We start from the raw sequence: 25,759 nt of genomic DNA, 5'->3' as shown, positions 1-25,759 counted from the left end.
CGGCCTCTCAAAGTGCTGGGATTACAGGCGTGAGCCACTGTGCCTGGCCTGAAAATGGTTTTTGGGTTGTTTTTTTTTTTTTGAGACAGTCTCACTCTGTCGCCCAGGCTGGAGTGCAGTGGTACAATCTCGACTTACTGCAACCTCCGACCCCCAGGTTCAAGCGATTCTTGTGTCTTAGCCTCCTGAGCAGCTGGAATTACAGGTGCTCAGCACCACGCCCAGCTAATTTTTTTATCTTTAGTAGAGATGGGGTTTCGCCGTTTTGGCCAGGCTGGTCTCGAACTCCTGACCTCAGGTGATCTATTCACCTCAGCCTCCCAAAGAGCTGGGATTATAGGCATGAGTCACAGCGCCCTGCCTAAAAGTGTTGTTGTGGTTTTTTTTGCCAAATTTCAAAGCCTAGTTTTCTCATAAACATCACTGCCATCTTTTTAAGTACATTGTTTTTTGTTTGTTGTTTTGTTTTGTTTTGTTTTGTTTTTCAGGCATTTGGACATTAGTATAGATGCATTGGGTAAATTAAAAATTATTGGCCAGGCACGGTGGCTCCCACTTTGGGAGGCTGAAGTGGACAGATCGATTGAGTTCAGGAGTTTGAGACCAGCCTGGACAACATGGCAAAACCCCGTCTCTACAAAAAAATTAAAAATTAGCCAGATGAGGGCCAGGAGCGGTGGCTCACGCCTGTAATCCCAGCACTTTGGGAGGCTGAAGCGGGCAGATCACTTGAGGTCAGGAGATCAAGACCATCCTGGCCAACATGGTGAAATCCCATCTCTACTAAAAATACAAAAATTAGCTGGGCGTGGTGTCTGGTGTCTGTAATCCCAGCTACTTGGGAGGCTGAGGCACGAGAATCATTTGAACCCGGAGGTGGAGGTTGCAGTGAGCCAAGATCGCACCACTGCACTCCAGCCTGGGTGACAGAATAAGACTCTGTCTAAAAAAAAAAAAAAAACTATTTTACCTCAGTTTAACAAAAGGAAAAAAATATTAGAAACCGATTAGGCTATTCATTTAGTTCAACATACTTATGTATTTTCAGTATGTACTAAAGTACTTGTGTAGTTTCTGGAGAGAAGTTTGGAAGTTTCTACTTGTTCTTGATTTCTAAACCAACTTTGGTCATCTCATTTCATTTCTTTAGAGTAGAAGGTATATTTTCCCTTTCTTCACATGTTTACCTTTTTAGGAATTTTTGTTAACATTGAAGTAATTATTAAATATCAGGGATGCCTACAAAAAAATAATGATCAGGCCGGGTGCAGTGGCTCACACCTGTAATCCCAGCACTTTGGGAGGCCAAGGTAGGCAGATCACCTGAGGTCAGGAGTTCAAGACCAGCCTGGCCAACATGGTGAAACCTGTCTCTACTAAAAATAGAAAAATCAGCCAGGCTTGGTGGCAGATTCCTGTAATCCCAGCTACTCTGGAGCCTGAGGCAGGAGAATCGCTTGAACCCAGGAGGTAGAGGTTGCAGTGAGCTGAGATCGCGCCACTGCACTCCAGCGAGGGCGACAGAGCGAGACTCGATGTCAAAAAAAAAAAAAAATTTATGATCAAATCTTTTAGTGCCTAGTAAAATGATATAAGAAATGTGCCTGGAAATATTCTGCAGTTAAAATTCATAATATTTAATAAATATTCAATGTTTTGTGTTTTAATAAGTTCGTCAGACCTTAGAACTGAGGGAAATTTTGCCAACTTAAAATTCTAATTTCTGTCTCTCTGTACTTTAATTTTCAGCTCGAAGACGCGACGTCCATTTGTCGAAAGAACAGGAGAGCCGCCTACCCTCTCACTGGCTGAAAAGCAAAGGGGCCCACACCACCATGGCAGATGCCCTCTGGCGCCTTCGAGATTTGATGCTCCGGGACACCCTCAACATTCGCCAAGCATACAACCTAGAAAATGTTTAATCACATCATTACGTTTCTTTTATATAGAAGCATAAAGAGTTGTGGATCAGTAGCCATTTTAGTTACTGGGGGTGGGGGGAAGGAACAAAGGAGGATAATTTTTATTGCATTTTACTGTACATCACAAGGCCATTTTTATATACGGACACTTTTAATAAGCTATTTCAATTTGTTTGTTATATTAAGTTGACTTTATCAAATACACAAAGATTTTTTTGCATATGTTTCCTTCGTTTAAAACCAGTTTCATAATTGGTTGTATATGTAGACTTGGAGTTTTATCTTTTTACTTGTTGCCATGGAACTGAAACCATTAGAGGTTTTTGTCTTGGCTTGGGGTTTTTGTTTTCTTGGTTTTGGGTTTTTTTATATATATATATAAAAGAACAAAATGAAAAAAAACACACACACACAAGAGTTTACAGATTAGTTTAAATTGATAATGAAATGTGAAGTTTGTCCTAGTTTACATCTTAGAGAGGGGAGTATACTTGTGTTTGTTTCATGTGCCTGAATATCTTAAGCCACTTTCTGCAAAAGCTGTTTCTTACAGATGAAGTGCTTTCTTTGAAAGGTGGTTATTTAGGTTTTAGATGTTTAATAGACACAGCACATTTGCTCTATTAACTCAGAGGCTCACTACAGAAATATGTAATCAGTGCTGTGCATCTGTCTGCAGCTAATGTACCTCCTGGACACCAGGAGGGGAAAAAGCACTTTTTCAATTGTGCTGAGTTAGACATCTGTGAGTTAGACTATGGTGTCAGTGATTTTTGCAGAACACGTGCACAACCCTGAGGTATGTTTAATCTAGGCAGGTACGTTTAAGGATATTTTGATCTATTTATAATGAATTCACAATTTATGCCTATAAATTTCAGATGATTTAAAATTTTAAACCTGTTACATTGAAAAACATTGAAGTTCGTCTTGAAGAAAGCATTAAGGTATGCATGGAGGTGATTTATTTTTAAACATAACACCTAACCTAACATGGGTAAGAGAGTATGGAACTAGATATGAGCTGTATAAGAAGCATAATTGTGAACAAGTAGATTGATTGCCTTCATATACAAGTATGTTTTAGTATTCCTTATTTCCTTATTATCAGATGTATTTTTTCTTTTAAGTTTCAATGTTGTTATAATTCTCAACCAGAAATTTAATACTTTCTAAAATATTTTTTAAATTTAGCTTGTGCTTTTGAATTACAGGAGAAGGGAATCATAATTTAATAAAACGCTTACTAGAAAGACCATTACAGATCCCAAACACTTGGGTTTGGTGACCCTGTCTTTCTTATATGACCCTACAATAAACATTTGAAGGCAGCATAGGATGGCAGACAGTAGGAACATTGTTTCACTTGGCGGCATGTTTTTGAAACCTGCTTTATAGTAACTGGGTGATTGCCATTGTGGTAGAGCTTCCACTGCTGTTTATAATCTGAGAGAGTTAATCTCAGAGGATGCTTTTTTCCTTTTAATCTGCTATGAATCAGTACCCAGATGTTTAATTACTGTACTTATTAAATCATGAGGGCAAAAGAGTGTAGAATGGAAAAAAGTCTCTTGTATCTAGATACTTTAAATATGGGAGGCCCTTTAACTTAATTGCCTTTAGTCAACCACTGGATTTGAATTTGCATCAAGTATTTTAAATAATATTGAATTTAAAAAAATGTATTGCAGTAGTGTGTCAGTACCTTATTGTTAAAGTGAGTCAGATAAATCTTCAATTCCTGGCTATTTGGGCAATTGAATCATCATGGACTGTATAATGCAATCAGATTATTTTGTTTCTAGACATCCTTGAATTACACCAAAGAACATGAAATTTAGTTGTGGTTAAATTATTTATTTATTTCATGCATTCATTTTATTTCCCTTAAGGTCTGGATGAGACTTCTTTGGGGAGCCTCTAAAAAAATTTTTCACTGGGGGCCACGTGGGTCATTAGAAGCCAGAGCTCTCCTCCAGGCTCCTTCCCAGTGCCTAGAGGTGCTATAGGAAACATAGATCCAGCCAGGGGCTTCCCTAAAGCAGTGCAGCACCGGCCCAGGGCATCACTAGACAGGCCCTAATTAAGTTTTTTTTAAAAAGCCTGTGTATTTATTTTAGAATCATGTTTTTCTGTATATTAACTTGGGGGATATCGTTAATATTTAGGATATAAGATTTGAGGTCAGCCATCTTCAAAAAAGAAAAAAAAATTGACTCAAGAAAGTACAAGTAAACTATACACCTTTTTTTCATAAGTTTTAGGAACTGTAGTAATGTGGCTTAGAAAGTATAATGGCCTAAATGTTTTCAAAATGTAAGTTCCTGTGGAGAAGAATTGTTTATATTGCAAACGGGGGGACTGAGGGGAACCTGTAGGTTTAAAACAGTATGTTTGTCAGCCAACTGATTTAAAAGGCCTTTAACTGTTTTGGTTGTTGTTTTTTTTTTAAGCCACTCTCCCCTTCCTATGAGGAAGAATTGAGAGGGGCACCTATTTCTGTAAAATCCCCAAATTGGTGTTGATGATTTTGAGCTTGAATGTTTTCATACCTGATTAAAACTTGGTTTATTCTAATTTCTGTATCATATCATCTGAGGTTTACGTGGTAACTAGTCTTATAACATGTATGTATCTTTTTTTTGTTGTTCATCTAAAGCTTTTTAATCCAAATAAATACAGAGTTTGCAAAGTGATTTGGATTAACCAGGTTTGGTTGTTCTGTTAAAGTGGTGTCAGATGTTTCAAGCAGATTTAACTCCTGCAAGCCCTGATTTCATGCTGACAAGGTTGTATGTGACTGCCAATTTAAGAGAACAAAGCTCCACAGATGGAGATGAAAGTCAGTGTCCAGACCTCTGGTTCAGGGCTCGGGCTGCATTAACACAGAGCCAAATGTAGTCAGACTGCAGACTGAAGTGCCCCACGCCACGCCTCAGGCTGGCAGTCAAGGAATTCCTACATGTCCTCAGCATGGGCAGAAATGCAGGTTGAAATTAAAATTGGAGAATTACTGAGGGCGGAAAGTGAGGAAAGCATGTAAGCAGTATAGCCCACTTCAAATAGCTTGTCTGTGGCCAGAAGAAACAGGTGGCCCAGGTGTCTTTAACATCTTTATAAACTCTTAAAACATGACCATGCTTTTAATAGAAAGTGTTGGTAAAAGCAACCAACTGTTTTCCTCTAATATCACTTTGCAAATCCCTGTGGTTCTGTTCTCCTGAATTTAGGATAGTACCGGCATCTGTGCCCCTGAGCATATTTTGAACAATCATTGATGTATAGCTAGACATCCCATCTGAACACTGAGCAAACAAATATTGCTATTATTCTGTTCCTTTTTTTTTTTTCTTTTGAGACGGAACCTCACTCTGTCACCCAGGCTGGAGTGCAGTGGTGCAACCTTGGCTCACTGCAGCATGCGCCACCATGCCTGGCTAATTTTTGAATTTTTAGTAGAGACAGGGTTTCTCCATATTGGCTAGGCTGGTTTTGAACTCCTGGCCTCAAGTGATCCACCTGCCTCAGCCTCCCAAAGTGCTAAGGTTACAGGTGTGAGCCACTGCGCCCAGCCTACTCTGTTCCATTTTAGCCTGGAAGTATGTTAGGTCCCTGAATGAAAGTTCAGAACTAAACAAATTAATGGACTGTCCCTTTTCCCTGTTTTGGCTATTTCATGGTATTTACATCTTGCAGATAGCACATAAATGAGACAAGAAACTCCAGATTTAATACTCGTGTGAAGACTAAGCACTAACATGCTTTACTAGGAGATAAATTACTTTGGAAAACAACAGGGTCCAAGAGTGTGTGTGTGCGTATATATATATATTTTTGTTGTTGTCGTTCACGCCATTCTCCTGCCTTAGCCTCCTGAGTAGCTGGGACTACAGGCGCCCAGCACCACGCCCGGCTAATTTTTTGTGTTTTTAGTAGAGATGGGGTTTCACTGTGTTAGCCAGGATGGTCTTGATCTCCTGATGTCGTGATCCGCCTGCCTCGGCCTCCCAAAGTGCTAGGATTACAGGCGTGAGCCACCGCGCCCAGCTAAGAGTATATTTCTTTAAAGAGAGTTAATTCAGTGTGAAAAATTTAAACACACACACAAAATGGAGATTAAATATCACATCAGGGATGTAGGTAAGACTTCCAAAATAGAACTGCTAGATGAACAAAAATAACTCATTTATTCACTACTTTTTTTCTTTCTTTTTTTGGGGGGGGCTGTAATACTGTTGTACTATTATTAGGTACTTTCTCTATAAATTCAGATAATAAAGTGACACTCCAAAGCCCATATTCTTTCCCCAACACCACAGTGGAGGTAGAGTTCTAGTAATAAATGCTAATCAGGTTTTCAGCATTCTGCAATAAGTATAGTTCTTGAAATTTATTAAAATTTATGCCCTGTAGTTTACAGTTGGTGGTACTGCAATTCTTTTCACGGCTTTTTTTTTTTTTTTTTTTGGAGACAGGGTCTCACTCCATTGCCCAGGTTAGAGTGCAGTGCTGGGATCATACTTACTGCAGTCTTGATCTGGCTCAGGTGATTCTCCCACCTCAGCCTCCCAAATAGCTGGGACTACAGGTGCACACCACCAGGCCTGGCTAATTTTTTGTACTTTTTGTAGAGACAGGGTTTCACCACGTTGCCCAGGCTAGTCTTGAACTCCTGGGCTCAAGTAATCCTCCTACCTCAGCCTCCCAAAGTGCTGGGATTATAGACATGAGCCACTACTCCTGGCGCCCTTAAATAGTTCAGTGTCTGATAAGTAGGATAGAGTCATTCCTAGTAGGAGAGTTAAAAATACTTTTGAGGAAAAATTAAAAGCTTATATACCTTAGCTGGGCACAGTAGCTCATGCCTGTAATCCCAACACTTTGGGAGGCTGAGGTGGGAGCACTGCTTGAGCCCAGGATTTTGAGACCAGCCTGGTCAACACAGCAAGACCCTGTGTCTACAAAAAATTTAAAAATTAGCCAAGCATGGTAGCTAGCTAGTCCCAGCTACCTGGGAGGCTGAGGCAGGAGGATCGCTTGAGCCCAAGAGTTCAAGGCTGCAGTGAACTATAATCATGCCACTGCACTCCAGCCTGGGTGACAGTGAAACTCATCTCAAAAAAAGCTTGCACCCTAACAAATGAGTTCTCACTCACAGCATCCAAACTAATGTGCTCTGAAAACCTATCTTCCATTGAATACAATAATTGCTTTGGTAGTCTACCTGCCTAAAAGTCAGAAGTTGTCCAATCTTTTTTTTTTTTTTTTGAGACGGAGTTTCACTCTTGTTGCCCAGGCTGGAGTGCAATGGCGCGATCTCGGCTCACCGCAACCTCCGCCTCCCAGGTTCAAGCGATTCTCCTGCTTCAGCCTCCTGAGTAGCTGGGATTATAGGTGCCTGCCACCACACCCGGCTAATTTTTTTTTTTTTTTTTTTTTTTTTGAGACGGAGTCTCGCTTTGTCGCCCAGGCTGGCGTGCAGTGGCGCGATCTCGGCTCTCTGCAAGCTCTGCCTCCCGGGTTCACGCCATTCTCCTGCCTCAGCCTCCCGAGTAGCTGGGACCACAGGTGCCCGCCACCACGCCTGGCTAATTTTTTGTATTTTTAGTAGAGACGGGGTTTCATCGTATTAGCCAGGATAGTCTCGATCTCCTGACCTCGTGATTTGCCCACCTCAGCCTCCCAAAGTGCTGGGATTACAGGCGTAAGCCACCATGCCCAGCCATACACCCAGCTAATTTTATATTTTTAGTAGAGACGGGCTTTTTCCGTGTTGGTCAGGCTGGTCTCGAACTCCTGACTTCAGGTGATCCACCTGCCTCGGCCACCCAAAGTGCTGAAAGTACAGGTGTGAGCCACTGCACCCAGCCTTCTTTTTTCTTTTAATAGAGACGGAGTGTATGTTGCCCAGGCTGGCCTTGAACTCCTTGCCTCAAGCAATCCTCCTGCCTGAGCCTCCCAAAGTGCTTGGATTACAGGCTTGAGCCACCAACCCTGGCCATCATTTTCAAAGTCTGTTGTCCTTAAATAAATTAACATTCTAATGGAAAGAAGAAAAAGAAATGGAGAGGAAAGCTCTAGAGAAGGCCAACACAAAATTCAGTCTAATGGTTCTCTGTGGGGTGGAAGCAGGGGGATGGGCCAGGGAATGAACCCACAGCAGACACAAAAGTTAGCCAATGGTTTTATTAGTGTTTACTATTATTCTTTGTAAAAGGTATGACGTATTTTCTATATGTATCAAATACTAAACTCCTAAAACAAGGTGGGTTAGGGCAAACATGGAGTATGGCCATATAATTGAGAATCATACTATAGTTTTTATACAGCAGTCAAGTCACTAAAAATGGTTTATCAGGTTAGGTTTACCAGGAATCCTAGATGACACAACTGGGCATGAGAATACGATGAACCACCGTCCTCTCCCTGATGGCAGAGGTCATTACTGGCCTTTCACATTCAAGCCATCTCCCAGCTGTGACTCTGGGCTTGCTGCACTGTAGTGTAGGTAGTGCTTTAAGGAGATGGGAGTAGTTAGTTAATGGTTCTTTACTGAATTGGTTCTAAGATAAGTGGACTAAAATTAGAAGAAAAATCTAGAAAAAATTAGGAGACATGTTTGTGGCAGAGATCATTAACTTGAGGATACCCTATGGCCTTAAGCATCAGCTTTATTCTCATGCAATAGTTAGAAACTATTCTGAAACTTAGTCTTTAGTATGTAGATTTTTTTTTGCTTGAAACGATGTTAGATGTGGCTATGCAAGCATGGAAAGGTATCTGCTTTTTCTACCAGGCTGATCCAAACTTACACTGGGTCAGATTGCCAAATCACTCAATAGACTGAGCCTCTGATTTAGCTCAAGTCTGGGATGCTTTATACTGTGTAGGTTCACTTTCTCATGGAAGGAGCAACTGTTTCTAGCAGCTGAATCGAACAGCAACATCTTCATCCTAGAGTAGTGTGAAACCTGTTGCCCACAGTCCTCATGAAGATCCAGCCCTTGCAGTTTAGGGGAGCCAAGCAAGGGAGGAGCATATTTCTGTTCACAAGAACACTAGCATGAGAAATGCGTAGTCAATCAAGAATTTCCACCACCCTAGCAAAAAGTTTATAGTCTAGTAGCTGGCAGAAATACAACCTGCATAATTATCCTGGTTTAAATGATCTGGCAATAGAGAATGTGTCCATAATTTAATTTGAATTCTGCAAAAAAGTAAATAAGGTTATAATTAGTTGCCTAAAAACAAAGATTGCCGAAAACAATTCGGGCTTCACTGAAAAGCATCCTGATTGATCCTTGAATTGTTTAAGAAATATTTCATGGACTAGATTCATCGAGTGAGTGTTTTAGGAGGAAATAATTTTCCCACAAGTGCTGTCCAGCAGTGACTTGGGAAGTACTCAAGCAGAGACAGAACTATAAAAATTCTTTGCAAAAACAGTTATTGGAATATTGTGCAGCTGATAAAGGACAAGCTGTGTCAGAACAAGAGATCTGAAAAGTATATTTTAAAAGGCACTGAAACCAATAGTAAAAATTCATATTGACTTTATTGACTGCTGAAGTTCAGTCTCATTCATCTTCCAGCCTTCTCTGATACTGTCTTTCTGAGGCTTTTCTACGGTAGACATCATCTGTATCAAACAAAAAGTTGCTCAGATGTTTAAGAAACATATTTAAAATTAAAACAATCTGAATAATTTAACCAATAGTCTAGGTCTGTCACCTACTTCTGAATCTTGGCATTAATATTTAACTCAATGCCAAAATAAACTTAAAACAAAACTTGAGTTAGATGAGGACTATGATAATGGAGTTCTAGACTTAAATAGGGTAAAAGTCAGTGTCTTGAAAGATAGAATCATGTCTTAGCACATCTCTTAGTGTTTTAAGATGTCCCTCACTTCCTTCTCCCCCATAATTTCTATTCTGTGCTCTGAAGTCATCCTTCTTAACTAAAACCTGGCTCCTCAAAGGCACTTCTTGCCTCTTGGCTCTCTGATGCTCCCTCTCCCATATCCAGAAACCTTCAGGTGGGGAGAGGAGATCAGTTTCCTTGTTCCAGCTGCTGCTTTGCCAGACCTTTGACTCGCCACCTTCATGTAAAGAATCTTCTTTCCAGGCCGGGCACAGTGGCTCACGCCTGTAATCCCAGCACTTTGGGAGGCCGAGGCAGGCGGATCACAAGGTCAGGAGTTTGAGACCAGCCTGGCCAGTATGGTGAAACCCCGTCACTACTAAAAATACAAAAATTAACCGGGTGTGGTGGCAGGCACCTGTAGTCCCAGCTACTCAGGAGGCTTAGGCAGGAGAGTCGCTTGAACCCAGGAGGCAGAGGCTGCAGTGAGCCAAGATCGTGCCACCACACTCCAGCCTGGGTGACAGACCAAGACTCTGTCTCAAAAAAAAAAAAAAAAAATCTTCTTCCTTCATGGCTCATGCCATTTGTCTGCCACCATCTTTCTTTGGCACCTGCTCTCCATCATGCCCCTTCAGTCACCAAAAGTGCTGGCCTCTGGCTCAGGTTCCTTGACCCTGTCCTGTGCCTTCTCCCCAGATACCACCATTACCCATGGGGATGAAGCTCCAGTACCCTTCACCTTCAACATCTTCCAGTCACTTGCAGGGCTCCTCTGAAGGATTTCTGTTCATACCACAACCCCCGTTACCTTTCCAGCCCTCCTGTCCTTGGACCTCACGTTTCTTCCCCAGGTCCTTGGCCCCGTCTTACCCGCTCAGCCGCTTCTTGTTCTCTCTCCTGGCAAATCAGCTAAAATTCCTTCATACTCTTGTCAATATCTTAACTTCCTGACACACCCTCAAAACCCCAACCACAGATTAATCCAACTTCCTCCCTTCCCCATGCTTCACCCTGCTTGCTGTGTCCTGAGGGGCCAACTGATGCCTCTAACTGGGTCCACTGAGGTGTCTGACAATCCTGTTTCCTCAGCCATCATCCTGACTCTTTTTCACCCACCCCCAAATGGCCATTTCCTCTCTTCCTTCACAGAGGAAAGTCATCATAAGGAACTCTTCCAGCTAACTTCCAAGGGCTTACTCCTGTCACCCAGCTCTGGTCCCACCCTCTCAAGGGTCCAGTATCTCCAGCCTCTCTCCACCCTCTCCTTCTAGATCATTATTTGCATATCCTGCAGTCTCTCCTAGAGGAAGGGGGGTTACCTCCCCTTCACAGAGCCAGATGTATTTAACCTCCTGTCTTCTGTGATAACAAATCCTCCTGGTTTCCCTCCTTGCCTTTCTGGCCATTCTCAGTTACCCTTAAAATGTTGGGATTTGGGCCAGGCGCAGTGGCTCACGCCTGTAATCCCAGCACTTTGGGAGGCCAAGGTGGGCAGATCACCTGAGGTCAGGAGTTCTAGACCAGCCTGACCAACATGGAGACACCCCATGTCTACTAAAAATACAAAATTAGCCGGGCGTGGTGGTGCATGCCTGTAATCCCAGCTACTCCAGAGGCTGAGGCAGGAGAATCACTTGAACTTGGGAGGCAGAGGTTGCGGTGAGCCAAGATCGCACCACTGCACTCCAGCCTGGGCAACAAGAGCGAAACTCAGTCTCAAAAAATAAATAAATTAAATTAAAATGTTGGGATTTGACTTCCATCATAATTTGCTTCTGAATGGTTCACAAATCCCAATTTCTGGCCCAGATTTGCCTCCTGAGCTTCAGCTCTGTATAACCATATCTACCTCGTCACGTCCCAGATGGTGCCCAGGATGGCCCTGCCTGTGTTCGGCACCTTCAGGAAATGCACTACCCCCTGCCCCAGGTGTCCCACCAGAAGCCTCCACTCCTCATCTCCTGAGTCCACTTAATCACCATGCCCTGTCAGTACTACCTCTGGGCTGTCTTTTACTTCCATCCCTTCTTGGTATCCTTTCTGCCCCAACCTAGACCAGGCCACTGTCTCAACTCTGGACAGCCATACAGCGTAACTGTTCCTACCAATCTGTCCACAAGGAGCCATTCTCCACATGTTAAAGCCTCTCCCTAAAATGACTCAATCCTTGGGATCCATTCTTGGTTCTCCAGTCCCTTTGCCACCCTGCCCAGGCACCCTTCTAGCCATCCCCACTTTGTTGATCTGCTTCAATCCCTCAAACACACAGCATACTCTCACACAAGTGCTCCTACCACTGCCATGGAGATGCTTTCAATTCCACACACCTTCCCCTCATCTGACTGACACCTACTCAGTCTTCAGGTCCTACTTTACTTGGTAGCTGCTTCCGGAAGCCTTCCCTGCACCATCTAGTCCAGTTGAGGCGCCCACCCGAGAGTCCTATGTTCCTCCCACTTCCTTCTCACAGCACTGATCACTTTGTATGCTAATTGTCTTTATCATCTTCTTTCCCATTAGAGCTCTTCTGGGGTAAGGGACACCTCTGCCTTGTTCATTATAGCCCCTCAAGAATGCTCATTAAGTATCAATGAATGGATGAACAGAAGGACTAAGGATCTTTAGGAATCACTAATGTAACAATTCTTTAAAATGTGGGTTGGCAAGTCACAAGTGATAGCGTTTCAGGAGAGGGGCAAAGCAGAAAGGGCCGAGGGGTTGGGGAAGTCCTCCTGAAAGGAACTGGCCTGTCCAGAGTTAATGCTCAGTAATGCAGTGCCAGGCGTTACCACTATCTTTACAGTGCTGATCATCTGGACCCAGACCAAAGACCTGGTGCCAATGACTGTCCTGTAAAGGTAGTGGTAATTAGCAAAGCCAGGCAGATCAGCTCCCTCCAGAGTTTGGACAGAAGAATCCAAAGAGAAATGGCTAGTTAGCAGGAGTTTCCCTGACCCCTCATATCCACCCCCTTCTACGATTGTTGTGAGCAAGTCTGTTCCTTAAGCCCAAACGATGTCACCGGCAGGGGTGAAGGGCAGGCATGAGAGGGCTGGAAGAAGCACGTGATCTCGCCTGTAAGTGCAGGGAAGGTCACAAGGCTGGACGCCAATGTGCCCGGCCTACAGGAGAGCCAGGCCGCCCTGACTGCCAAGCGAATGGAACTGCACTCGCCCAGCGCTCTGAGTGGAATGCGCGGTCTGCAATCTGAGAATACTCCCCAGAAAAACGGATCCCTACCGCCTCGTGCCTTCCTGAAAGGAAACAGAGACTGCTACCCCCTCACTTACAGAAGGTCTCCTGGCCCACGCGCACTTTAATCATGATCCACTCCATCGTTCCTCCCAGGACAAAAAAGAAGGGCAGGAACCGGTAGATGCCAAATCGCTGCTTCCCGGGCACCCGCTGCAGAATCCGTCTCACCTGGGCCCTGGTGAACATGCTCGACCGAGGTCGTGGAGAGGGATATGACGGAACTAAGCACTGGATCGCCCGGACGCAGCCGAGACCGCCCCGCCCGTTCTCGCCGTGTACCGCGACCTGGGAGACTAGCGAGCGCCGTCCTCCGCCACTGTCTGGTAGGCGCACGAGTGCCGGAACTGGGCGCCGACCTTCTAAAGCGAGGCGGATCCGCCAATCAGACTGCAGCGGGGGCGTGCAGCTCCGCCAATCAGAGCACGGCAGGGCGCGCGTGCTCCCTGAAGCCGAGCAGGGCCTCGAAGGAGCTGGCGCAGGCGCCTCAGCTCTGGAGGTGGGACGGCCCAAAAGGGAAGGACAGCCCACGTGGCGCCGGCCCGGCCCCGCCCCCTGCCTCCCCAGTGCAGGTCTGAGCTCGCAGTTGGCAGCCGCGCCCCCTACTCTGCCACCGCCATTTTTATTCCTAATACCCAGATAGAAGTGATGACCCTCTCTGATGGACTATGTACAGCACCACATTCCAAAATGCAATTATGCAATGCCTTGCGTTTATTTCGGAGACGTGATTGGTGCCTAGACTTCTAAAGTAACAGAATTTGATATGGAGTGTTGAAAGCTGAACTTTATCAATTATCACAGCAAAAATCTAAGTAAGCGCCCCGTGAGAACCCTAAAATTAATAAAAGCTATCTTGTATGGGGCACTTACAGTTCCACAGGCACTTGTAGGCGCTTTATTCACAATAATCGCAGAAGAGCAGTATAAAGAGCATGCACTCTGTTACCAAACCACATCCCTGCTCTACAGGTGCTCCCTTAGCCCATCTGTGCCTCAATTCCCTAAGCCGTAAAACGGAGGCCTTGTTCTGACGCTGTGATAATTTAGTGCGGTAATAGGAATGATGCACTGAACACAACCCTGGAGCATAGTAACTGATTAATATTAGTTAGAATATTCATTATGATGATAATGATTGGCAGAGCCCTCGCTCTTCACATGTATTCCCAAACATGGTTTTTGTTTGTTTCTTGAGACAGGACCTCGCTCTGTCATCCAGGCTGAAGTGCAGTGGCGCAATCTCGGCTCACTGCAACCCCCTCCTCCCCGGCTCAAGCCATCCTCCCACCACTACAGGCGTGCACCACCACGCCCGGCTAATTTTTTAATTTTTTGTAGAGATGGGGGTCCCACTATATTGGCCAGGCTAGTCTCAAACTCCTGGGCTCAAGAGATCCTCCTGCCTTGGCCTCCCAAAGTGCTGTGATTACAGGCGTGAGCCACCGCGCCGAGTCTGAACGTGTATTGTTTATATGTAGTCTCTTAACTGACAGTTTAAGAGACTATGCCAGGTAGAAGCAGGGCTCTGACTTAAGAGACTTCACTTGTAATTGCGTCTTCTCATGCTGCTGTGCTTGCTGAAGATAACTGAAAGGGGCTGTCACCCCATTACCTAGGACTAAAGTAAAAACTGCAGGAACAGCTTTGAGAAAGGAGACAACTATTAGACAATCTAAGGAAGGTAAATGAAAGCTTAGAACCAATGAGACGATTTGGTGATATGGACACAAAATATACAAAAGCAGACTGGAGAGAGCAAGCAGGGCCCCAGAAAGGGTCATAGGGCCCGCAGTGAGCAGCCTGAGCTGCCGCCTGTACAACCGGCTTTGGAGGGCCAGCCCGGAAGCCTCTTTCTCCTCCGGGTAGACTCCGCCCAAGCATGCACACACACAGGCTTGATGCTCGCTCCCGTTTCTACAGGAGGTTTTGACGGCTGGATGCTGCAGGGCATCCCCTCGCCTGGAGGAGGTTCACTTGTGGCCAGGTTCCCAGCACACCCACTTGCTCACTGGGGCCCTGGGGACACCGCCACACTCGAGCCCATCCTACGGCCTCAATCCTTACCAGTCCCCAGGCCATGGACTGCCACACTGTAGGTCTTCAATCAAGGTTCAGTGGAGTTTCGAATGTACACACACCCTGAAAGACAGCGCGGCCACCTCAGAAAACAACGCGCGCCCAGCTGGCTCCCCTCCGACAGGGCCCACGGCTACTGGGTCGGCCTCCTCCGGACCCTGAGCACAGCCTGGTATGCGTGCGGGCTCGGAATACGGATCTGAGCAGAAGAAATGCGAGTGGAGAGCGGTTCTGCGCAGGAAAGAGGAATTTTGTTGGAAAGCCTGTCGACGTTGCTAGAAAAGACCACAGCATCTCACGAGGGGCGTGCGCCGGGAAACCGGGAGTTGACGGGTCAGTGCGGCCAGTTGCCGAGGTCCGAACCAAGCGGGCGCAGTGACCGTGGCCCACAACCCTGCAGCGCACGGCCCAGTCACCTGGTTAGCGGACGTCGGCTGCCCTGCAGGCCCCTCGGCCTCCCCCAGCGTGGGCCTGGCACCGGGAAGCGCGGGAAGGGCTCTTTATTTGTTAGACCAGTGAGTGGACTGGCCCGGGCTCTGGTCAGTGGGCAGTCAGTCCGAGCCCAGAGACCGGGGACCAGGACCCCGGGAAAGGAGAGCACCAGGACTAGGGGGAGGAGCGGAGGATCTGGGGTCAGAAGCATCCAGAGGCGCAGGGTAGGGCGGGCGGACCCGGGAGCGGAGAGGGCGGCAGAGGACCCGGGGGCCCGGGGGGTACCCGTCGCGCTCCGGCTGTCTCCTCTCGGCGCCTCGGCCGTCCGGAGCCTCTCAGGGACGGCCGCTCTTAGGCCCGCTGACTTCCAGGGCTGGGGCCAGGGAAAGGCGCCGCCATCGCCGGCGTGACGGCCGAAGGGGGGCGCAGAGTCCTCCCGGACCGCGCCGGAGACTGGCTGGGGGAGGGGGCTGGGGAGCCCTCCCCGCCCCGCCCCGCCCCGCCGGGTCCGGGGCCTCCCGCCCCCCGGGCCGAGGGGCGCGCCCATTGGCAGGCCGGGCTCCGCGCGCCGCACCCATTGGCCGGCCGCCGTGAGGAGCACGAGGCCACCGTGGCGGGCGCGCAGTCGGAGGGCGGCGGGCGGCGGGCGGCGGGCTGGCCGAGGGCAGCGCGGGCGGCGGGCGGCGCGCGGTGGGCATGGCGGGTGCGGGGCTGCGGGCGGCCGCTCGGCGCTGGCTGCTGTGCGGAGGCCACGGCGGGCCGCGAGCCGCCTCGTCCTCGCCCTCCTGCCCTGGGTGCGGCCCCCCGGGTCCCGGCGCCCACTGCCCCGGCGTCCCGCGCTCCGCGCCCGCCCAGGCACCCACCAGCGGCGCCGACCTCAGCGCGCACCTATGGGCTCGCTACCAGGACATGCGGAGACTGGTGCACGGTGGGTGAGCCGGGGCGGGACGTGCGCCGGGGTGTCTTCCGCGTGGACTGATGGACGGACCGAGCCCCAGGGTGCCGCTCCTCCGGGGAAACACCCAGTGGGGCTCGCCAGGGCCCCGGAGCGCAAGGGCCGGGCGGCTTTTCGCGAGAAGCTCCGGCCGTTCATCCCGGGGGCCTCTGGGGCGCCCCGACGCCCGGGGGCGGGCGGGAGGTTTGTTCCCCGGCTCGGTCTGCAGGAGCTCGGGGCTCCTCGAGCGGCTGCCGGAGTGCTGGGCCCCCGCCGACTTCCTTCGGGGTCCCGCCTGCCGTGAAGCCGCGGTGGAAACGCCCCCAACCCCTTGTTCTCGGCCAACCCTTAGTTGGGGCGGGAGAGTGCTGTGGACAAAGCCAGCGAGCGGCGCCGGGCGGAACGGGCTCCTAGGGACGGCCGGACCAAAGGGGACACCGGTTGGACTTCCCAGACACACCTCGATGTCGCCCTGGAGGTCCGGCCCCCTCTCAGCCCGGGCAGCGAAGGCTGGGAGAAGCCAAGTCACCCCCGCCCCCTGGAGCCCAGACTAGGGCTGCAAAGGGCACTTAACCTCCCTGTCCCTGCTCTCTCCCTCTGAGAAATGGCGTGAGGAGGCTGAGGCCCCTTCTTGGAGGGGGCCGGCTGGGGCGCACTAGTGAGGCCCCAGAGCTGAGAGTGCTGGACATCTGCCTGCTTGTCTCCGTGGGTCTAGTGGGGCCCTGCTTCTGCAGCAGACAGATATGGTTTGGGTCGTGACCCTATCACTGACCAGTTGGGTGGTCCCCCAGCAAGTCTCACCCTCTCTCAAGCATGAAACGCAGTCCTGGGGCCTCTCTGTCCCAGGGTTGGGTGATGACTGGAACCAGGCCAAGCAGGGCAGGAGAGCTTCCGGAGGAACCCCCAGGGGTGACGTGGCTTTTGTTGTCTGATAAAACAAAGTAGCCCTGTCTGGAAGATTCTAACTGGCTAGACAGGGGTTTTCACTCCGGCTTTGTGGGGTGGCGGAGAATCACTTCTTGACCAGTAAAGGCAGGATGGTAAAGGCCCCTGAGGAATGGTCATTTTGAAGCCTTGGGCATCTGTCCACCCTCGAGGTCCCAGGTTGAGTTTGTGTCTGTGGAGGGGCGGCCCAGCGTTATTTAAGAAGTCTTTGCTCTGGGCCCGGAGAAGACCCTCAGAGTATCCTGAGAAGCCTGCCTTGGAGGTTTCAGGGAGGACTACGGGGATCTACTGGACATTGTCCTCCTGGGCCTGCCTGCATCTTTGGAGCCTCACAGCCCTCTAAGCTCCTCTTGTCATACAAGGAGCAAAGTCATTCCCACCAAGATCCCATGGTGAGCACCAGCAGGAGCCAGCTTCACACCTCTGGGCGCCGAGGTCCGCTTTGGGCTAATGCCCACGGGCTGAGAGCAGTGCAACAGGTCCCTCAGTCCCCCAGCCCCCACCCACCTGGCCTCAGTGTGGTGACATTGGGAGGCTAGGCTGAGAGGCAGAGTGATTAATGCAGGTGGGGTGACTTGAATGGTGATCTCAACCCCGGTGCCTGTTACTGGGTGGTTTGGAGCAAGTGACTTCACCTCCCTGAGCCCCAGTTTCTTCCTCCGGACGATGGGGGAATAAGTGGGACTGCCTCACAGGATGGGAGTGAGGATTGAACAAGACAAGCCTCTAAGGCATCCACAAGTGTCACGGCTGCTAGGGAGCAGTTGGCCCTGGGACCTGGCACCATGGGCAGGTGTGGGAGCTAGGGCTGAGGAGAAAGGAGGGCAATTGCTGGACATGCTGAGTGGGACACACCCTCAGCTGCCCCACCCCCACCCCCCACCCACACCACCTATGGAAGGGAACAGGCTTCTGTCGCCCCAGAGCCAAGGTTCTTCTAGTCTAGAAATCAGGCCAGGCCACCAGGCCCTGTGGCTGTTTCCACATCCTGCTTTGTTCCTGGGAGGACTGTCTGCCCCTGGGCCCCTGGGAACATCCTTAGGGGCAGAGGTGAAGGCCTGGACCTAACCAGGACTCTGTGCCAGCAAGGGGCTGCACTGCCGAGCAGACCCTCCCAGGTCTTCTGCACCAAGAGTCACAGTCACAGTTGGTATCCGGGAACTCAGGGCCATGGGAAGGGCAAGGCCCAGGGTCCTAGTGACACACCAGAACCCTGGGCCTTGAGGGGTGGCTCAGAAGCAGCTCCCTAGAGCGTTGCAGTCAACTGTCTCACTTGCATCCAAGTGAAGACTCCTGTCTACACCCACAGATCTTCGGAGCAGCCGCTCTGTGCTGGCCTGGGGAACCAGCCACACCTGATCCCCCACCCACACCCTGAACTTGGCTCCAAAGGAAAGGGGTGGGAATGGAGCCCTGTGTCCCCAGAGTGCCTCTGAGGCAAGTGCTCTGGGCACGGAGCACATCAGCGAGATGTCTGCCTCTTGAGTGCAGCAGCTGCCAGGCACACTGTGGGGCTTCCCTGGCCCTCTGGCCTGGCAGCTCCTGCTTTGTCATCGGCACTGGGGTTGTGGCTGAGACAGGGATCCCCTGGAGTCTTAGAGCTGGGGCCCCTGCAAGGCAGGGGTACTAGATGTACCCTGTACATCTAGTCCTGCCTGCTCCCTTCTCCCTGCAGCCCCTGCTTCTGGAGGGACACTGGGAAATTGGGGACAGGATGCTCATAGGCTCAGGAAACATATCACCCATTTAATCCTGCATATGTGCAGGTGCAGAGTGAGATTGCTGCACAGAGCAGCACCTTCCATATGACAGTCTTAGTAATTCTGTAGGTTGGTACAATTTTTTTTTTCTTTTTAAAAATGTTTTCACAGAGACAGGGTATCGCTATATGGCTTAGACCAGTCTTGAACTACTGGGTTTCAAGCAATCCTCTCGCCTCAGCCTCCTGAGTAGCAGGGACTGTAGGTGTGTGCCACCATGCCCCACTTGGTACAATTTTTTGTACCCTTTTAGAAACTAGGAAACAGGCCCAAGAGGTGAGGTGACATTCCTGAAGTCATAGCCATGAGAGGGAGGGCCTGGTCTTGTCTGGCTGACCTCATTGCATGTGGCCTTCCTAGCACATCTCCTTCCCTTTCCTTTCCCTTCCACTTTCTCCATTGTACACATAGGGAAACCAGGGCAGGTAACATGGGGCCTCTCAGCCCCATCTGCCTCCTTGGGACCCCAGAGCCCATGCCACACAGTGCTCTGCTCAGCACCCTGCTGTGGGCCTCAAAGCCAACTGCAGCCTCCTGGGAGCAGCCAGGGACTTGGGGTGGCCACGACCACATCCCCAGAAGGAGCAACCTGGATAATGGCCCAGAACCTGACATCACGTCCTGACTGTCGTAATTAGCAATGTTCCCTGGCTAGAGCCAGCAAATGTCATTATATGGGCTTGCGGGCAGCTGAAATCTGATTAGAGGGGCCTCACTCTCCCTGGGCTGTGGGAAGTGCACAGAGCTGGCAGCCCGATCGGCAGAGGGGCTCCCCCTCCCACTAATGTTCCTGAGCCCCAGTCCCAGCTCTGGGCAAGGTAGAAAAGTCAGCATCCATGGCCTCAACCCCCTAGTCTGGCCATACAGAGCCAGCCCCTCTGGGTTGGAGTCCTCAGTGCCCACATGGTATCCTCACACATAATCCCAGGGAGGCTGAGAGATGAGGCCAGGGGGCAGGGCAGGGCAGCTGAGAGGAGCAGAGGAGGCGCTGAATTGTGGGGGGCCAGACAGTGGTGTTCCTGCACGGGTTTTGAGCAAGTGGGAGGCTTTGCTTTGTAGAGCATCCCAAAAGCAGCTGTTCTGGGGCTAGGCGGTGAGGAGTTGAGTGACTGCTGCCAGGGTTCTAGCATGGCCTTGTGTCTGATGGGGCTTAGTGGTGAGGGCCTGGAGTAGTCACGGGCTCAGTATACCTGGTGGGCTATAGGAGATAGTGTAATGTAGGCAGGTGTAACCATGAGGAGGAGCTCCAGCCAGGGGCTCTGCCTTACCCTAACTGCGTGACCCTGGGCAAGTGACTTCTCTCTGGGCCTGTTTGACCATCTCCAGCACTGGAATAAGAGGTGCCATTGTGGGGCGTTTCTGAGGCTCACAGGGCTAGGTCCCCACAGAGTGCTCAGGAGCCATAGCTGCTGCAGGGATCATCATCCCCATCACTGCCTCCCTGCATCTCCTTCCTCTAGACCTCCTGCCCCCCGAGGTCTGCAGTCTCCTGAACCCAGCAGCCATCTACGCCAACAACGAGATCAGCCTGCGTGACGTTGAGGTCTACGGCTTTGACTACGACTACACCCTGGCCCAGTATGCAGACGCACTGCACCCCGAGATCTTCAGTACCGCCCGTGACATCCTGATCGAGCACTACAAGGTGAGACGGGGGTCCTTGCCACCAACAAACCCAGGGCTTGGAGGCTGGCCAGACCCACCTTGGCCTAAGCTCAGGGCTGAGTCGTGGGGCTCCCCTGGCCCTCTTGCCTGGCAGCTGCCCTGGGCAGGTGGCTGGATTGACCCCCTGGGGTGGCCACCCAGCCAGCAGGTCTGGCAGGGCTATTGGCTTAGGCCTGGCCCCTTTCCCCCGGCAGTACCCAGAAGGGATTCGGAAGTATGACTACAACCCCAGCTTTGCCATCCGTGGCCTCCACTATGACATTCAGAAGGTGAGTGGCTGGACCTGTATAGGGGCTCCCTCCTTGGCCTCCTCTTGGTATGGTCATTACCCCTCCGTCCCATCCAGCTGGGGTTCTGGCATGGGCTGAAAGAGGCTGGCTTGGGGCCACGGTGAAACTGCCTCCTCACCATCCGTCCTGCCTCCCTGGCGCCCCCAGAGCCTTCTGATGAAGATTGACGCCTTCCACTACGTGCAGCTGGGGACAGCCTACAGGTCAGTCGGCTCTGCCCCAACCCCACCCCCGCCCCACCCTACACTGCTGTTCTGGCTCAGGACTACCTTGGACTGATGGTATCTTGGGCCTGCTCAGGGGCCTCCAGCCTGTGCCAGACGAGGAGGTGATTGAGCTGTATGGGGGTACCCAGCACATCCCACTATACCAGATGAGTGGCTTCTATGGCAAGGTACTCCATACCCCAGCAGCCAGCCTGCCCCATGGACATGTGCCCATGTCCCAAGGCAGATTTGGGGCCCTCGTCTCCAGCACTGAAGGGGTTGGGGTCCCAAAGGGTGTCTGAGACAATGGCCCCCTCCCCAGGGTCCCTCCATTAAGCAGTTCATGGACATCTTCTCGCTACCGGAGATGGCTCTGCTGTCCTGTGTGGTGGACTACTTTCTGGGCCACAGCCTGGAGTTTGACCAAGCACATCTCTACAAGGACGTGACGGTGAGGATGCTGGGCCTGCCCTCGGATGGCAGGAAAGACTAAGTCCAGCCACAGTGGGACAGCCCCACCTGGGCCCTGCTGTACCCTCATTGTCCTCCACTGCCCCCAGGACGCCATCCGAGACGTGCATGTGAAGGGCCTCATGTACCAGTGGATCGAGCAGGACATGGGTAAGTGTGGACAGAAGCCCTGCCGTGGCCGGCCTGAGCAGGTGGCAGGACTGACCCTCACAGACTCATCTGCCCCATTAGAGAAGTACATCCTGAGAGGGGATGAGACGTTTGCTGTCCTGAGCCGCCTGGTGGCCCATGGGAAACAGCTGTTCCTCATCACCAACAGTCCTTTCAGCTTCGTGTGAGTCCAGCCCCTGTGGATGGAGGGACAGCAGGGCCAGGGCTCTGGGTGGGGAGGGCAGGCACGGAGCCGCCCTCAGACTACTTGCCACCTGAAACTCCTCCACACAGAGACAAGGGGATGCGGCACATGGTGGGTCCCGATTGGCGCCAGCTCTTCGATGTGGTCATTGTCCAGGCAGACAAGCCCAGCTTCTTCACTGACCGGCGCAAGTATGGGCATGGTGGGGGTTGCAGGGCCAGGGAAGGGGAATAGAGGCCCCACCCCAATGAGGGGACTGAAGCAGGAGGCCAACCTGGCCCTTGCCCACTGCCCAATGTGCTTGGGGTGAGAACACCCCCTTGCTGGCATGGGTCCACTTGAGCAGGTGGGCCTTTACGGAGGAGGGATGGGGGTTGCCCGGCCCGTGGCCCAGCCACAGACTGGAAGTCATGCCCTTTACCTGCACCCCAGGCCTTTCAGAAAACTCGATGAGAAGGGCTCACTTCAGTGGGACCGGATCACCCGCTTGGAAAAGGGCAAGATCTATCGGCAGGTAAGGGCCATCTGGGGAGAGCAGCATGTGGTGGGGGCATGGGGCCTAGCTAGGGCCCCAGGCTGTGCAGAGGCAGCCTCTGAAGAAGCAGCACAGCTCCTTGGCCCTGAGCAGCCTCACACAGGCAATGGCTGGCAGGGAGCAGGTCTGGGTGGCCTCGAGAGCTTGACCTCTGGGTCAAGCAGCCTGGCTTTGAATTCCTAACTCCACTACTCAGCAGAGGGAGCCTGGCCTGGTTGCCTGACCTCTGTGCCTTGCTTCCCTTGTCTGCAAAAGAGGTGTAATACTCTCTACTGAAGCTGTGGTATAAAGCTCTCAGAATGGCCAGTGCGCCAGGCACCGTGGCTCATGCCTATAATCCCAGCAGTTTGGGAGGCTGAGGCTGCAGGATAGTTTGTTGAGCTCAGGAGTTTGAGACCAGCCTGGCCAACATGGCGAAACCCCATCTCTACTAAAAATAGAAAAAATTAGCGGGGCATGGTAGCATGCACCTGTGGTCCCAGCTACTCCAGAGGCTGAGGTGGGAGGATCACTTGAGCCCAGGAGTTCGAGGCTGTGGTGAGCTGTGATCACACCACTGCACTTTAGCCTGGGCAACAATGCAAGACCCTGTCTTCAAAAAACAAGAATGGTCAGAGATCGTGAAATGCCTGATGAATGGTGTCATTTCTTGGGGTTGAGCACTCTGCTGCAGCCAGAACAAGTCTGGTTGGGGGCAGCTCACTGGGTGATCTAGAGAAACTCCTCCTTCCTACCTGGCTAGGAAAATGAGAGGGACTGGTGTTGAGGTGGGATTAGGTGTCTATGAGCAGGCAGTGATTAAGGTTTAGCCCTGGCTGGAATGCGGAAATCCTGGCTGAGCTGGGCTTCTTCAGGCTAGGGGTTCTAAAGGCCTTGGGGCTGGAGGAGGGGGAAGCCAGCAGCTGGCCAGGGGAGCAATGTGGAGGTGGCCAATGCCCAGCCTGGCCTGCAGGAAACACCCCCACCCTCTCAGCCCTGCCCACTTCTCTGCCTCCCACCCTTCCGCACCCAAACTCTCCACAGCCCTCGGGCCCAGGTGCGTCCCTTCAGCTCTGAGGGCGCTGCTCTCCCCTGCCTTGGCATCCAGCCTCAGCTAAAGAGGGTCATACACCTTTGTGAGAAACACATGACTTTCTTCCCTGGCAGCTTTCAGGCAGTTCTTTATGCCCAGTATTCTGAAGCTGCTTTCCACTGTGTGTTGGATCCTGCCTGTCAGTCACTAGGAGTCTGTCAGTCTCCTGCCCTTTGAGACTCTTTCTCTTGGTCTGGGGCCTGCCTGGGCCTCTGCCCCTCCACTTGAACTTAGTTCAGCAATTGGCTTCTCCCACACCACCTGTTTCCCCCAGCGCTTCCACTTCTGAGGCTTGGAATGCACAGACTGCTTCAAGAACTGTGCTTGCTGGGTGTCAATTATTCTCGCTTTTGGGGTGTGGACTCCTACCCTGGTGGCTGCTGCCTGAGCACTAGTCTGGTGATTCCTGCTCTGGGCCGCTCAGTTTCTGCCACCCTGTGAGCTTCCCCAGTTACATGTGGGCCTGGCTGAGTGTCTCCATCTTTCTCTGGCTCCAAGATGCTGGTGGCCCCGGTGAGGTCTGCCATTGGTCTGCCAGGTCCCTCTGCACTGAGGCAGGGGAGGCCAGCAAGGACTTCAGGGCTGCAGAGCCTTCCCTGCAGTTTCTACCTTACAAACAGGGATCTAATCCCTAACCTGGGGTACGTGTGAGACCACAGGGAGAAGGCCCTCGAGGCATGGGCACCATGCCAGGCCTGTAGGGCACCTTCCTGCAGCAGGCAGAATCCCCTTCCCAAGTAGGAGGGGAAAGTGACAAGAACCAGGGCCCAGGGAGGGAGCAGCAAGGCCATGGGAAAGGGCAGCCAGCATCCGGCTGGATTTGGGCTGCCTCTGGGGATTCGGGAGGGAGGACTGGTGGAGGACAAGGCACACTTGGCTCAGCAGCATTCCCCTCCTCTCCCTAGGGAAACCTGTTTGACTTCTTACGCTTGACGGAATGGCGTGGCCCCCGCGTGCTCTACTTCGGGGACCACCTCTATAGTGATCTGGCGGTGAGGGAGGCAGGGCTGGGCTGCAGTGGGGGAGGGCCAGGAAACCCCCCCCCCCCCGCCCCCAGCAACTGGCGCTGAGCCCAGTTCTGCCGCCCCACCCACCAGGATCTCATGCTGCGGCACGGCTGGCGCACAGGCGCCATCATCCCCGAGCTGGAGCGTGAGATCCGCATCATCAACACGGAGCAGTACATGCACTCGCTGACGTGGCAGCAGGCGCTCACGGGGCTGCTGGAGCGCATGCAGGTGTGGGCCGGGGTGGCTGTGGGAGGGCCAGGGCGGTAGCCTCCTGGGTGCACACACCCAATGCACACTTTGTGTCCCCAGACCTATCAGGACGCGGAGTCGAGGCAGGTGCTGGCTGCCTGGATGAAAGAGCGGCAGGAGCTGAGGTGAGCAGGTGGGGCCAGGGCAGGAGTCCCAGCCAAGCCACCACCCCAGGCCCACCCCTTGAGCGCATCGTGTCTCCCTCGCCAGGTGCATCACCAAGGCCCTGTTCAATGCGCAGTTCGGCAGCATCTTCCGCACCTTCCACAACCCCACCTACTTCTCAAGGCGCCTCGTGCGCTTCTCTGACCTCTACATGGCCTCCCTCAGCTGCCTGCTCAACTACCGCGTGGACTTCACCTTCTACCCACGCCGTACGCCGCTGCAGCACGAGGCACCCCTCTGGATGGACCAGCTCTGCACCGGCTGCATGAAGACCCCCTTCCTTGGTGACATGGCCCACATCCGCTGAGGGCACCTTTATTGTCTGGGACAGGCCCTCAGCCCCTCCTGCCCCATCCACCCAGACAAGCAATAAAAGTGGTCTCCTCCCTGTGCATGCTTCTGCTTTCAGCCCCAGCCTCGTCACTTGACTGTGAGGATCCTCTGGGTGTCAGGGAAGTCCTCCTCCAGCAGTGAGTCCTAGAAGAGCAGGGTTGGTGGTGGAGGGTGTGACCAGGGCCTGGGCCCATCCCACATCTGCCACACTTCTTCAC

At 51.5% G+C, this 25,759-nt stretch overlaps 4 protein-coding genes across 164 annotated transcripts in view, besides 6 other annotated features; 2 read left to right on the top strand and 2 right to left on the bottom strand.

The window, feature by feature from the left end:
* Window positions 1-4,618, top strand: part of PBRM1 (polybromo 1) — a 140,547-nt gene extending 135,929 nt beyond the window's left edge. For all 153 annotated transcript variants that reach the window (NR_175959.1, NR_174502.1, NM_001405585.1 and 150 more), the window contains one exon: window positions 1,750-4,618. Coding sequence is in view for 151 of the 153 variants with exons in the window: in NM_001405585.1 (NP_001392514.1) it covers window positions 1,750-1,922 (173 nt within the window). In the remaining 2 variants the exon portion in view is untranslated. The remainder of the gene's footprint in view (window positions 1-1,749) is intronic.
* UQCC5 (ubiquinol-cytochrome c reductase complex assembly factor 5) lies at window positions 8,095-13,380 on the bottom strand. The gene is made up of 2 exons (NM_001124767.2): window positions 13,079-13,380; window positions 8,095-9,561 (listed from the first exon to the last, which is right to left on the bottom strand). Exons 1-2 carry the CDS (start codon window positions 13,227-13,229, stop codon window positions 9,500-9,502), a joined length of 213 nt encoding a protein of 70 aa, NP_001118239.1. The 5' UTR covers window positions 13,230-13,380; the 3' UTR covers window positions 8,095-9,499.
* Window positions 12,528-13,061: an enhancer, noted in NCBI's record as "H3K27ac hESC enhancer chr3:52570940-52571473 (GRCh37/hg19 assembly coordinates)". NCBI's record gives its function as "activates a minimal SCP1, AML or CMV promoter by ChIP-STARR-seq in naive H9 embryonic stem cells {active_cell/tissue: H9 hESC(naive)}" and the evidence as "EXISTENCE:reporter gene assay evidence [ECO:0000049][PMID:30033119]".
* Window positions 13,395-13,694: a silencer, noted in NCBI's record as "silent region_14448". NCBI's record gives its function as "represses an Ori minimal core promoter by ATAC-STARR-seq in GM12878 lymphoblastoid cells {active_cell/tissue: GM12878}" and the evidence as "EXISTENCE:reporter gene assay evidence [ECO:0000049][PMID:35858748]".
* Window positions 14,958-25,598, top strand: NT5DC2 (5'-nucleotidase domain containing 2). 4 transcript variants are annotated; one of them, XM_047448760.1, is made up of 14 exons: window positions 14,958-15,452; window positions 20,651-20,835; window positions 21,050-21,124; window positions 21,293-21,348; window positions 21,446-21,539; window positions 21,674-21,802; window positions 21,912-21,972; window positions 22,054-22,156; window positions 22,267-22,368; window positions 22,610-22,691; window positions 24,690-24,776; window positions 24,882-25,022; window positions 25,104-25,168; window positions 25,374-25,598. In XM_047448760.1, the coding sequence occupies exons 1-14, from the start codon at window positions 15,332-15,334 to the stop codon at window positions 25,513-25,515; spliced, it is 1,443 nt and encodes a 480-aa protein (XP_047304716.1). In that variant the 5' UTR covers window positions 14,958-15,331; the 3' UTR covers window positions 25,516-25,598. The 4 variants fall into 4 exon arrangements, with proteins under 4 accessions (XP_047304716.1, NP_075059.1, XP_006713366.1 ...); NM_022908.3 differs by having other exon boundaries at window positions 25,254-25,598; XM_006713303.4 differs by lacking the exon at window positions 14,958-15,452 and adding an exon at window positions 16,128-16,479.
* Window positions 15,729-16,228: a silencer, noted in NCBI's record as "silent region_14447". NCBI's record gives its function as "represses an Ori minimal core promoter by ATAC-STARR-seq in GM12878 lymphoblastoid cells {active_cell/tissue: GM12878}" and the evidence as "EXISTENCE:reporter gene assay evidence [ECO:0000049][PMID:35858748]".
* Window positions 16,289-16,638: a silencer, noted in NCBI's record as "silent region_14446". NCBI's record gives its function as "represses an Ori minimal core promoter by ATAC-STARR-seq in GM12878 lymphoblastoid cells {active_cell/tissue: GM12878}" and the evidence as "EXISTENCE:reporter gene assay evidence [ECO:0000049][PMID:35858748]".
* Window positions 16,669-16,758: a silencer, noted in NCBI's record as "silent region_14445". NCBI's record gives its function as "represses an Ori minimal core promoter by ATAC-STARR-seq in GM12878 lymphoblastoid cells {active_cell/tissue: GM12878}" and the evidence as "EXISTENCE:reporter gene assay evidence [ECO:0000049][PMID:35858748]".
* Window positions 16,889-17,018: an enhancer, noted in NCBI's record as "active region_19943". NCBI's record gives its function as "activates an Ori minimal core promoter by ATAC-STARR-seq in GM12878 lymphoblastoid cells {active_cell/tissue: GM12878}" and the evidence as "EXISTENCE:reporter gene assay evidence [ECO:0000049][PMID:35858748]".
* Window positions 25,490-25,759, bottom strand: part of STAB1 (stabilin 1) — a 29,158-nt gene continuing 28,888 nt past the window's right edge. For all 6 annotated transcript variants that reach the window (XM_005264973.4, NM_015136.3, XM_005264974.2 and 3 more), the window contains one exon: window positions 25,490-25,685. In XM_005264973.4, coding sequence (XP_005265030.1) covers window positions 25,629-25,685 — 57 coding nt within the window. In that variant the 3' untranslated portion in view covers window positions 25,490-25,628. The remainder of the gene's footprint in view (window positions 25,686-25,759) is intronic.

This window comes from Homo sapiens, chromosome 3 (genome assembly GCF_000001405.40).
Source record: "Homo sapiens chromosome 3, GRCh38.p14 Primary Assembly".
NCBI classification, from domain to species: Eukaryota; Metazoa; Chordata; class Mammalia; order Primates; family Hominidae; genus Homo; species Homo sapiens.
The sequence above is the reverse complement of the archived record's forward strand: the minus strand, read 5'-3'. Positions and strand labels throughout refer to the sequence as shown.

Bases quoted from the DNA above. Each gene is read 5' to 3' on its own strand.
- UQCC5 (NM_001124767.2), bottom strand. From the start codon at position 13,229: ATGTTCACCAGGGCCCAGGTGAGACGGATTCTGCAGCGGGTGCCCGGG. The intron at 9,562-13,078 runs GTAAGTGAGGGG...TGTTTGATACAG, and splicing joins CGTGGGCCAGGAGACCTTCT to ATGATGTCTACCGTAGAAAA.
- NT5DC2 (NM_001134231.2), top strand. From the start codon at position 16,248: ATGGCGGGTGCGGGGCTGCGGGCGGCCGCTCGGCGCTGGCTGCTGTGC. The intron at 21,540-21,673 runs GTACTCCATACC...CCCCCTCCCCAG, and splicing joins TGAGTGGCTTCTATGGCAAG to GGTCCCTCCATTAAGCAGTT. The intron at 24,777-24,881 runs GTGAGGGAGGCA...CCCACCCACCAG, and splicing joins ACCTCTATAGTGATCTGGCG to GATCTCATGCTGCGGCACGG.